The following is a 10,220-nucleotide window of genomic DNA, read 5'->3' as shown; positions in this document are numbered from 1 at the left end:
CTGGAGTTCAGTATTTATTTCCCCATTTCTTTTCTGGCCTGAGGAAGGCAAATTTTACATACAAATCTCAAGTCAGTACTCTTTTTTTTTTTTGAGACGGAGTCTTGCTCTGTTGCCCAGGCTGGAGTCCAGTGGTGTGATCTTGGCTCACTGCAACCTCTGCCTTCTGGGTACAAGCGATTCTCCTGTCTCAGCCTCCCAAGTAGCTGGGACTACAGGTTTGTGCCACCATATCCAGCTAATTTTTGTATTTTTAATGGAGAAGGGGTTTCACCATGTTGGCCAGGCTGGTCTCAAACTCTTGACCTCAAGTGATCCACCTGCCTTGGTCTCCTAAAGTGCTGGGATTATAGGTGTGAGCCATCTCGCCTGGCCTAATACTGTTTTGTTTGTTTGTTTTTGTTTTTAAGACAGAGTCTTGTTCTTGTCACCCAGGCTGGAGTGCAATGGCATGATTTCGGCTCACTGCAACTTCCGCCTCCTGGGTTCAAGTGATTCTCCTGCCTCAGCCTCCCAAGTAGCTGGAATTAAAGGTGCCTACCACCACGCCCCGCTAATTTTTATATTTTTAGTAGAGATGGGGTTTCACCATGTTGATCAGGCTGCTCTCGAGCTCCTTACCTCAGATGATCCACCTTCCTTGGCCTCCCAAAGTGCTGGTATTATAGGCAAGAGCCACTGCGCCCAGCCCCAGTATTCAGTTTTTAAACTGTCTTGTTATCAAGGCTCTGGAGCCAGATGCCTGGGTTCAAATTCTGGTTCTGCCACTGACTCTGTGAGCTCCATAAGTTTCTTAACCTCTCTGTACCTCAGTTTCCTCTTAGGGTTTTTGTCAGGATTATAATTATTGGCTGGGCATGATGGCTCATGCTTGTAATCCCAGCACTTTAGGAGGCCAACACGGGCAGATCACGTGAGTCCAGGAGTTTGAGCCCAGCCTGGGCAATGTGGCAAAAATCCATCTCTACAAAAAATGCAAAAATTAGCTGGGCATGGTGGCATGTGCCTATAGTCCCAGCTATTCAGGAGGCTGAGGTAGGTGAATCCATAGATCCTGGGAGGTCAAGGCTGCAGTGAGCCATGATCCTGCCATTGCATTCCAGTCTGGGTGACATAGCGAGACCCTGTCTCAAAAAAAAAAATTATTAAAGTGTGTAAATCAGTGGCATAAACATGTTAAGTGCATTTTGTGGGTCAGCTATATTATTATTAGTATTACGGAAACACATAGAGATGTTACCAAGAAGGGGAGATGATTGGAGCCACTTCCAGCTTCCTTGGACCTGGTCTTTCTTCCCTTGACTCTTTTTTTTTTTTTTTTTTTTTTTTTGAGAGAGAGAGTCTCAGCCTGTTGCCCAGGCTGGAGTGCAATGGTGCAATCTTGGCTCACTGCAACCTCTGCCTCCCAGGTTTAAGTGATTCTCCTGCCTCAGCCTCCTGTGTAGCTGGAATTACAGGCGCGTGCCACCACGCCCGGCTAACTTTTTGTATCTTTAGTAGAGACAGGGTTTCACCATGTTGGCCAGGCTGGTCTCGAACTCCTGACCTCAAGTGATCCACCTGCCTCAGCCTCCCAAAGTGTTGGGATTACAGGTGTAAGCCACTACCCCGGCTACTCCCTTGACTCTTAACCACTCATGCTGCCTACATCTACCATTCATGTGGTCCTTGCTGCTTTGTTTTGGTTATTCCTGCATTTATTTGTCCTTTTATTCATTTATGTATAAACATTTAGTAAGCACCTACTAATGGATAGGGCTCATTGTAGACTTGGAAGCTCTCTGAGGGTGGGAGTATGCCTCGTCCATCTGTCTTTACTTTTTGTAGCAAGGGAGGTAAAGCTCCATTTCCATCCCTCCTTAGTGAGTCAGTAGTCAGTGGTGAGGCTAAGGCTTACCTCTCCCTTTCTCACTCAGCACAGGGGGCTGGAGATGAGCAAGGGAACGGGAGGAGGTCAGCCCAGTATGGGAATCAGTTCTTCTCAGGGAACCCAGACATCCATCCCTCAAGATTCCAGTCCTTGTCCTAGTCCGGCCCTTGACCTCAGAGACGGGATCAGCTCTTCCTCCAGCACCTACCTTGAGGGTATAGAAGAATGCAAACCACATTGGAAACCTGGAGATCTGTGTTCTCATTTCAGCTCTGCTGACTGGCTTCCTGCAAGCTACCTTCCCTCCCTGGGCCTCAGTTTCTCTCTCTGCTGAGCCAGAAGATGTCTAAAGACCCCTTTGGTTCCACCCTGAGAGCCTGTCTCCCTAACCTCAACTTCTTCCCCAGTTCAGAGAACCCAGGCATCCAGCTGCCCCACCCCAGCTCTGGGTAAACAGGAAGCTGGGTGAGGGGAGCAGGGGTGTGCGGAAAGTCCCAGCCAGGTGTGCAGGTCTACAGGGAGGGGGTGGGCCCGTCCCTGAGGTATGAAAGCCCCCTGCTCTGGCTCTGGTTCAGTCTCAATGGGGGCACTGGGGCTGGAGGGCAGGGGTGGGAGGCTCCAGGGGAGGGGTTCCCTCCTGCTAGCTGTGGCAGGAGCCACTTCTCTGGTGACCTTGTTGCTGGCGGTGCCTATCACTGTCCTGGCTGTGCTGGCCTTAGTGCCCCAGGATCAGGGAGGACTGGTGAGTGGCTGCAACAGGCCCTGGTGGAGAGTTGTATCTTGCGGATGCTTGGCTCCCTCTGGTTGTGCCTGTGGTCTTTTGCCCCCTCTGGCTCAGCTGGCTCGGCTGTCCCTGGTGGGGATGTCTTGTCTCTTTGCTGACTCTCTTTCCATGTTCCTGTGATGTTGTGCTTGTGTCCCGACATAAGCCCCTTGTGTCTCCTCTCCTCTTCCCGAGGTACATCTGTTTCTCCGCCCAAGTACCTATGCCTTGCTTGTTCTCCCTTCTAAGGAGGTGTGTGTTGGGGATGGTGCTGGTAGGAGAAACCCCAGGCCTGCAGCTTGGGTCCACTTTCAGAGGGGTAGGGGTGACATGAGCTGAATCTGAACTCTGGGCACTGTGACCCCACCCAACCAGGTAACGGAGACGGCCGACCCCGGGGCACAGGCCCAGCAAGGACTGGGTAAGAGCAGACTGTCTCTCCTTCCCCGCTTCAGACCCTCAGGGGCTCCCAGCTCCCTGCTGCGTCCCCAGATACCTCTTCCTCTAGGAATCCAGGCTCCCCATCCCTGCGCCCTGTTCTCTCAAGGGTAGCCTGCATGGGTGGCTGCCCTGCCCCCAATCGTGGACTCTTTGCCCCTTCCAGGGTTTCAGAAGCTGCCAGAGGAGGAGCCAGAAACAGATCTCAGCCCCGGGCTCCCAGCTGCCCACCTCATAGGTAAGGACCTCCAAGACCTGAATAAGAGTGTAAATAATCCGAAGGTTCCAGTTCTGCTCGCCCAGAGTCCTTCGGCTCCATGATTCCAGTGCTCGGTTTCCCACCCGCTTCACGACCTTTTGTCGCTCGTGCCCACTCTTACGCTCGTCCCCGCAGTGTAGTTTCTTCTTCCCTCCGGTGCAAGCAAAAGCCGGCCTGGAGGTCCCCACTACAGCGTTCTGCACCCCACATCCGTGTTCCCTCGGCCCCCAACTCGCACTCATCCCAGAAACAGCACCATCCCTCCTCCCCCGGCCCGGCTCGGCTCCCGCAGGGGCTAAAAGCCGCCACTTCCCCAGAAGTCCCAAGCCTTTAGGATCGCATTCCCAAGAGCGCGTCGGCCCGTGTCTCCGCAGGCGCTCCGCTGAAGGGGCAGGGGCTAGGCTGGGAGACGACGAAGGAACAGGCGTTTCTGACGAGCGGGACGCAGTTCTCGGACGCCGAGGGGCTGGCGCTCCCGCAGGACGGCCTCTATTACCTCTACTGTCTCGTCGGCTACCGGGGCCGGGCGCCCCCTGGCGGCGGGGACCCCCAGGGCCGCTCGGTCACGCTGCGCAGCTCTCTGTACCGGGCGGGGGGCGCCTACGGGCCGGGCACTCCCGAGCTGCTGCTCGAGGGCGCCGAGACGGTGACTCCAGTGCTGGACCCGGCCAGGAGACAAGGGTACGGGCCTCTCTGGTACACGAGCGTGGGGTTCGGCGGCCTGGTGCAGCTCCGGAGGGGCGAGAGGGTGTACGTCAACATCAGTCACCCCGATATGGTGGACTTCGCGAGAGGGAAGACCTTCTTTGGGGCCGTGATGGTGGGGTGAGGGAATATGAGTGCGTGGTGCGAGTGCGTGAATATTGGGGGCCCGGACGCCCAGGACCCCATGGCAGTGGGAAAAATGTAGGAGACTGTTTGGAAATTGATTTTGAACCTGATGAAAATAAAGAATGGAAAGCTTCAGTGCTGCCGATAAAGATGCTGAGTTGCGACACACGTCTTAATTCAGGGTGGGTGCACGGGTGCGGGTTAAATATTCTCAGTACTCTTCTGGTTGCTTGAAACAATTCATCACAACACAGTGTATGGCCTTTGCTCCTAGGGATGATGGTCTGCCTGTCCCACCCCCTCCCTGCCTCTGAATGGCCAGGCCCCACCATTAGCCCAGTTGGAGGGTGGGAGGAAGGGGGACTTCTCAAACTCCGAAGCTTCTCTAGGCATCCTGATTTTCAGGGCCACATGGTCCCAACCAGACTCTGCACCATACTCTTTTCTCTTGGGTACCCCCCAACAGTGAGAGGGGTCATTACAGAGCCCAGCAAGCACCACTCAGAAAGGCCCAGCAGCAGAGTAAGCCCCTATCATGACAGAGGAATGAAGCCTGGAGGGGCCCCGCACTTCTCCCCCTAGAGCTGCCTGAAGGCCTCTCTGTCTCCTACCCGACAGTCAACTCTTCTCCTCCAAGGAGCTTAATTCAAGGCTCATGGGGTCTGAAGGGAGGAGGCTGAAGGAGAAAGAAGGGGAGAATATTAGAGAGAGATGGGGATGGCAGGAAGGAGCCTGTGGTGCCTGAAAACACCAGGAAGTTCTGGGGAGGAGGAAAAACCGATGCCCCACTTAGGGTGTCCCATTTAGGGTGAGACGGAAAATCCTCACCTTTTTTTCACACTTTAGGTCCCCCTTCCCAAAAGTGAGTAAGTGTGGGTGCTTCTGGGATGAGTAACAGTGTCCCCCATTACTTCATGGCTGACTTTCAGCCACAGGCTGGAGGAGGCAGAGGGTGACCCAAGGCCCTATCTAGGTCACCCCAATGGGTCACCCTACCCCCTCAGCCTACCACATGGTTTTCTCCTGCCTGGCACCCCAGGGCTGGAGGTAAAGCCTAATTTCCGAACTCAGTGGGGGCTCCCAGTCTAGGGGGGCTCAATTTCCGTCTCCATATTTGTTTTTGGAATTATTATTTTTTTGAGACAGGGTCTCGTTCTGTCACCCAGACGGGGGTACAGTGGCATGATCATAGCTTACTGTAACCTCAAACTCCTGGGCTTGAGTGATCCTCCTGCCTCAGCCTCCTGAGGAGCTAGGATTACAGGCATGCACCACTACACCTGACTAATCTTTAATTTTTTTTCTAGAAACAAGGTCTTGCTATGTTGCACAGGCTGGTCTTGAACTAGTGGGCTCAAGTGGTCCTCCCACCTCAGCCTCCCAAAGTGTTGGGATAACAGGCATGAGCCACTGCGCCCCACCCTTATTTGTCTTTGACTCTCTCCAGAAGAGCCTTCATCCAGGGAGGGGGTGCTTTTCTCTTTCCGGATTACCCACCTCTCACCTCTCCCCTCCTTCACCACAAAGACCAGTGGGACCAAGCCGGCATGTGAGTCCTTCACCCACATCTTATTCCTATGTTTCATTCTTTTTTAAAAAATAGAGACAGGATCTCACTATGTTGCCCAGGTTGCTCTGGAACTCCTGGGTTCAAGCGATCCTCTCACCTTGGCCTTGCAAAGTGGTAGGATTACAGGTGCATGCCACCACGTCCGGCAGTTCGGTTCCTTGTTCTTTATTGTCCTCAGTCTCTTCGATTTCACCCACTGAGAGAATGGAAGGGGATAGAACAGCTGGAAACTGGTTGAAGGAAGCCAGAATTCACTAAGTGCCCACTGTGCCAAGGGCTGAGTGAGGTCCTCTGATGGAGGTCAGGCCTTCTCTCACATGCCCTATGTGTGGTGGACATTCCTATCCCCATTGGATAGATAGGTTAAGTGGCTGGTTCAGGTTGCAGAGTTAGGACAGGGTGATTTGAAGCCTAGACACCCGAATCTCTGGAAGTCCCTTGGCTGTGTGATTCAGGTACCTGAGAATGCGGCTCCTCTCCAGCTCTCTCCGGACTGCTGGCCAGCTGCAACAGCCGGAAATCTCACCTGAGCTGCAGGATTTTCCCAGCAAGGATTGGAATTCCCAGAGTTGGAAATTCCCATGCCCTGAGGGAGAGGTAATTAGGTTCAGGCTCTTGTTTCCTGGGGGATGGGGAATATTCTGTTGGGCTTTGTTTATGTAGGGTCTCCAGGGCCCTAGGAGTCTAAGGATGGGACTGGGTCCGAGGGATCTTAAAGCCTGTGGAGAGAGGACTTAGGGAGCTTCTTCCCACCCACAAGAAGAGGCAGATGCAGAATTAATTCCAAGAAGGAGACCATGTTTCTTTTCTAAGCAAACTTTATTTCTCGCCACTGAATAGTAGGGCGATTACAGACACAACTCCCCTGGGGAGCAGAGGCTCAGCAATGAGTGACAGTTGGTCACCAAATCAGCATTGTTTAGACAACTTAATCAGATAAATATTTTAAAAAACATAATCAAAAGAAGGCACAGAGGCCAGGGGGCTACATGGGAACAGCCTATTGTTCAGCTCCGTTTTCACGGAAAACATGTCTGAGCCAAGGCAGCTCCTACATTGGGTCCCCCAGGATACCCCGGTCTCCCAAATAAATACATTCATCTGTAAATAAATAAATAATAAATAAATAATAAATAATCACAAGTGCAAACATAAATAGAGGGAGCTGGCTCCATGGGGAGGGCTGGGCTCCGTGTCTCAAGGAAGTCTGGAAACATCTGGAGAGAGGAAGGCCTAAGGTCCACTTGTGTCAATTTCTAGGTGAGGTCTTCTCAAGTCCTGCAGCATTCTGGCCAGAACCAAAGGCTCCCTGGTCTCCAGATTCCAGATGTCAGGGATCAAAGCTGTAGGCCCCAGTGAGTTCTGGAGGCCCCAGTTTGAATTCTTAGTGGTTGCCAGCACTTCACTGTGCAGGCCACACATTCCTGAATCCCAGGTTTCGAAGTGGTGGTCTTGTTGCTTAAAGTTCTAAGCTTGGGTTCCGACCCTAAGCCCCCAATTCTCTTTTTGAGCCAGAAGAGGTTGAGGGTGTCTGAAGGAGGGGGTAATAAAGGGATTGGGGCAGGGGAGGCGTTTGGGAAGGTTGGATGTTCGTCCTCCTCACAGGGCAATGATCCCAAAGTAGACCTGCCCAGACTCGGCAAAGTCGAGATAGTCGGGCCGATTGATCTCAGCGCTGAGTCGGTCACCCTTCTCCAGCTGGAAGACCCCTCCCAGATAGATGGGCTCATACCAGGGCTTGGCCTCAGCCCCCTCTGGGGTCTCCCTCTGGCAGGGGCTCTTGATGGCAGAGAGGAGGTTGACCTTGGTCTGGTAGGAGACGGCGATGCGGCTGATGGTGTGGGTGAGGAGCACATGGGTGGAGGGGCAGCCTTGGCCCTTGAAGAGGACCTGGGAGTAGATGAGGTACAGGCCCTCTGATGGCACCACCAGCTGGTTATCTCTCAGCTCCACGCCATTGGCCAGGAGGGCATTGGCCCGGCGGTTCAGCCACTGGAGCTGCCCCTCAGCTTGAGGGTTTGCTGGAGGGAGGGAGAGAGGGAGAGGAGAGTCAGTGTGGCCATGTCGGTTCACTCTCCACATCCTGGCCCTCGAGCTCTGCCCACCCCACATCCGGTTCCTGTCCTCTCTGTCTGTCATCCCACATCCCACCTGGCCATGACGTTCTGAGTATCCCACTAAGGCCTGTGCTGTTCCTCCACCCTTCCCTTGAGCTCAGCGAGTCCTTCTCACATTGTCTCCAAGTTCTGCCTACCATCAGCCGGGCTTCAATCCCCAAATCCTAGCCCTCCAAGTTCCAAGACACATCCTCAGAGCTCTTACCTACAACATGGGCTACAGGCTTGTCACTCGGGGTTCGAGAAGATGATCCTGAAGAGGAGAGAGAAAAGAAAAAGCTGAGACCCTTAAACTTCCTAGAAAATACCCCCCTACTTTCACCTCCATCCATCCTCCCCCAAGACCAAAACTTTAAATTTCCCCCACTGCTTCCATACCGGTACTAACCCTACCCCCAAACCCAAACCCAGAATTAGGAAAGAGGTTTGGAGACACTTACTGACTGCCTGGGCCAGAGGGCTGATTAGAGAGAGGTCCCTGGGGAACTGTTGGGGAGAAGGAGAATGGTTAACATCGAGGGAGTCACCCTTAAAGGAGGAACAGCTGGCTGCCTGTCTGGCCTGCGCTCTTAGCCCTGAGGTGTCTGGTTTTCTCTCTCCATTCATCTGTGTATTCACCTTCCAGGCATTCAACAGCTCTTTCCCTGAGTGTCTTCTGTGTGCCAGACACCCTATCTTCTTCTCTCCTTATCTCCCCCATCTCTCTCCTTAGCTGTCATATTTCCCGCTCTTTCTGTCTCACCATCTTTATTCATATCACTTGTTTCTTCCCCCATCTCTCTTCTCACACCCCACATCTGTCTCCATATCTTATTTATATATCTGCTTGTTCATTCATTCATTCATTCATTCACTCCATACACACTTAGTGAGCACCTTCCATGTGCCAGACATCCTGTCTCTCCATCTTTCTCTCTCTCTCTTCCCCATCTCTTGCCACATCTCTTTCTGCATCCCCGTCTTTCTCCACGTTTTTTTCTCTCCATCCCTCCCTATCAGCGCACATCTTTCACCCATCCCATCTCTCTCCCTCTCTTGCGTCTCCATTTCCCCTTGGGTGGGAGAGTGGATGAAGGCTGGCCAGGCACTCACCTCTTCCCTCTGGGGGCCGATCACTCCAAAGTGCAGCAGGCAGAAGAGCGTGGTGGCGCCTGCCACGATCAGGAAGGAGAAGAGGCTGAGGAACAAGCACCGCCTGGAGCCCTGGGGCCCCCCTGTCTTCTTGGGGAGCGCCTCCTCGGCCAGCTCCACGTCCCGGATCATGCTTTCAGTGCTCATGGTGTCCTTTCCAGGGGAGAGAGGGTGGAGCCGTGGGTCAGTATGTGAGAGGAAGAGAACCTGCCTGGCAGCTTGTCAGGGGATGTGGCGTCTGAGGGTTGTTTTCAGGGGGGGTCTGTAGTTGCTTCTCTCCCTCTTAGCTGGTCCTCTGCTGTCCTTGCTGAGGGAGCGTCTGCTGGCTGGGTGTGCCAACAACTGCCTTTATATGTCCCTGGGGCGAGAGGAGGGCGGGGAAAGAATCATTCAACCAGCGGAAAACTTCCTTGGTGGAGAAACCCATGAGCTCATCTGGAGGAAGCGGTAGTGGGCCCTGCACCTTCTGTCTCGGTTTCTTCTCCATCGCGGGGGCGGGGATTTGGAAAGTTGGGGACACACAAGCATCAAGGATACCCCTCACACTCCCCATCCTCCCTGCTCCGATTCCGAGGGGGGTCTTCTGGGCCACTGACTGATTTGTGTGTAGGACCCTGGAGGCTGAACCCCGTCCCCATGCCCCTCAAAACCTATTGCCTCCATTTCTTTTGGGGACCAGGTCTGTGGTCTGTTTCCTTCTAACTTCCAGACAGGATGCAGGAAAAAGATAGAACTAGAACTGGGAGGGGCTTCAGAAAGCTGAGTCCTTGAGGGAGAGAAAACGGGGTTGGAGGGAAAAGCTGTGTTGAGTCCTGAGGCCTGTGTTTGGGTCCCTGCGGGGAGAAGGAGCTGGGGGCTTGGTGGCAGGCTTGAGGCCTCAGGAAAGGCTGGGTGGGGGTAGCAGGGACAAGCCTGGGACAGCCCCGGGGAGTGAAATCACCCCCGGGAATTCACAGACCCCACTGGGGCAGGCCTTCTTCTTTCATTCTGACCCGGAGACTCATAATGCTGGTTTCAGTCTTGGCTTCCAAGGAACTCTGGGGTCCCTGATTTTTTTCATGAAGCTCTCACTTCTCAGGGCCCCAGTGTGTGGCCATATCTTCTTAAACGTCCCCTGTATTCCATACCTGGAGGTCCTGGAGGCTCTTTCACTCCCTGGGGCCCTCTACATGGCCCTGTCTTCGTTAAGGGGGGGTCCCCATACTCGACTTCCATAGCCCTGGACATTCTCCTACCCATTG

At 53.7% G+C, this 10,220-nt stretch overlaps 2 protein-coding genes across 3 annotated transcripts, besides 2 other annotated features; one reads left to right on the top strand and one right to left on the bottom strand.

The window, feature by feature from the left end:
- Positions 2,090-2,844: an enhancer, noted in NCBI's record as "H3K4me1 hESC enhancer chr6:31549801-31550555 (GRCh37/hg19 assembly coordinates)". NCBI's record gives its function as "activates a minimal SCP1, AML or CMV promoter by ChIP-STARR-seq in naive H9 embryonic stem cells {active_cell/tissue: H9 hESC(naive)}" and the evidence as "EXISTENCE:reporter gene assay evidence [ECO:0000049][PMID:30033119]".
- On the top strand, positions 2,443-4,310 carry LTB (lymphotoxin beta). 2 transcript variants are annotated; one of them, NM_002341.2, is made up of 4 exons: positions 2,444-2,612; positions 3,009-3,054; positions 3,238-3,309; positions 3,705-4,310. In NM_002341.2, exons 1-4 carry the CDS (start codon positions 2,451-2,453, stop codon positions 4,157-4,159), a joined length of 735 nt encoding a protein of 244 aa, NP_002332.1. In that variant the 5' UTR covers positions 2,444-2,450; the 3' UTR covers positions 4,160-4,310. The 2 variants fall into 2 exon arrangements, with proteins under 2 accessions (NP_033666.1, NP_002332.1); NM_009588.1 differs by lacking the exon at positions 3,009-3,054 and having other exon boundaries at positions 2,443-2,612.
- Positions 5,655-6,854: an enhancer, noted in NCBI's record as "P300/CBP strongly-dependent group 1 enhancer chr6:31545791-31546990 (GRCh37/hg19 assembly coordinates)". NCBI's record gives its function as "activates an origin of replication core promoter dependent on BRD2, BRD4, P300/CBP, MED14 and CDK7 cofactors, with strong dependence on P300/CBP, by STARR-seq in HCT116 cells {active_cell/tissue: HCT116}" and the evidence as "EXISTENCE:reporter gene assay evidence [ECO:0000049][PMID:35650434]".
- TNF (tumor necrosis factor) lies at positions 6,532-9,303 on the bottom strand. The gene is made up of 4 exons (NM_000594.4): positions 8,941-9,303; positions 8,289-8,334; positions 8,054-8,101; positions 6,532-7,752 (listed from the first exon to the last, which is right to left on the bottom strand). Exons 1-4 carry the CDS (start codon positions 9,124-9,126, stop codon positions 7,331-7,333), a joined length of 702 nt encoding a protein of 233 aa, NP_000585.2. The 5' UTR covers positions 9,127-9,303; the 3' UTR covers positions 6,532-7,330.

Source organism: Homo sapiens, chromosome 6 (assembly GCF_000001405.40).
Source record: "Homo sapiens chromosome 6, GRCh38.p14 Primary Assembly".
NCBI classification, from domain to species: domain Eukaryota; kingdom Metazoa; phylum Chordata; class Mammalia; order Primates; family Hominidae; genus Homo; species Homo sapiens.
This window is presented reverse-complemented; position numbering and strand designations above follow the sequence as displayed.

Bases quoted from the DNA above. Each gene is read 5' to 3' on its own strand.
- LTB (NM_002341.2), top strand. From the start codon at position 2,451: ATGGGGGCACTGGGGCTGGAGGGCAGGGGTGGGAGGCTCCAGGGGAGG. The intron at 2,613-3,008 runs GTGAGTGGCTGC...CCACCCAACCAG, and splicing joins CCCAGGATCAGGGAGGACTG to GTAACGGAGACGGCCGACCC. The intron at 3,310-3,704 runs GTAAGGACCTCC...GTGTCTCCGCAG, and splicing joins CCCAGCTGCCCACCTCATAG to GCGCTCCGCTGAAGGGGCAG.
- TNF (NM_000594.4), bottom strand. From the start codon at position 9,126: ATGAGCACTGAAAGCATGATCCGGGACGTGGAGCTGGCCGAGGAGGCG. The intron at 8,102-8,288 runs GTAAGTGTCTCC...TCTCCTCTTCAG, and splicing joins CCCTCTGGCCCAGGCAGTCA to GATCATCTTCTCGAACCCCG. The intron at 7,753-8,053 runs GTAAGAGCTCTG...CCCTCCCTCCAG, and splicing joins GCCTGTAGCCCATGTTGTAG to CAAACCCTCAAGCTGAGGGG.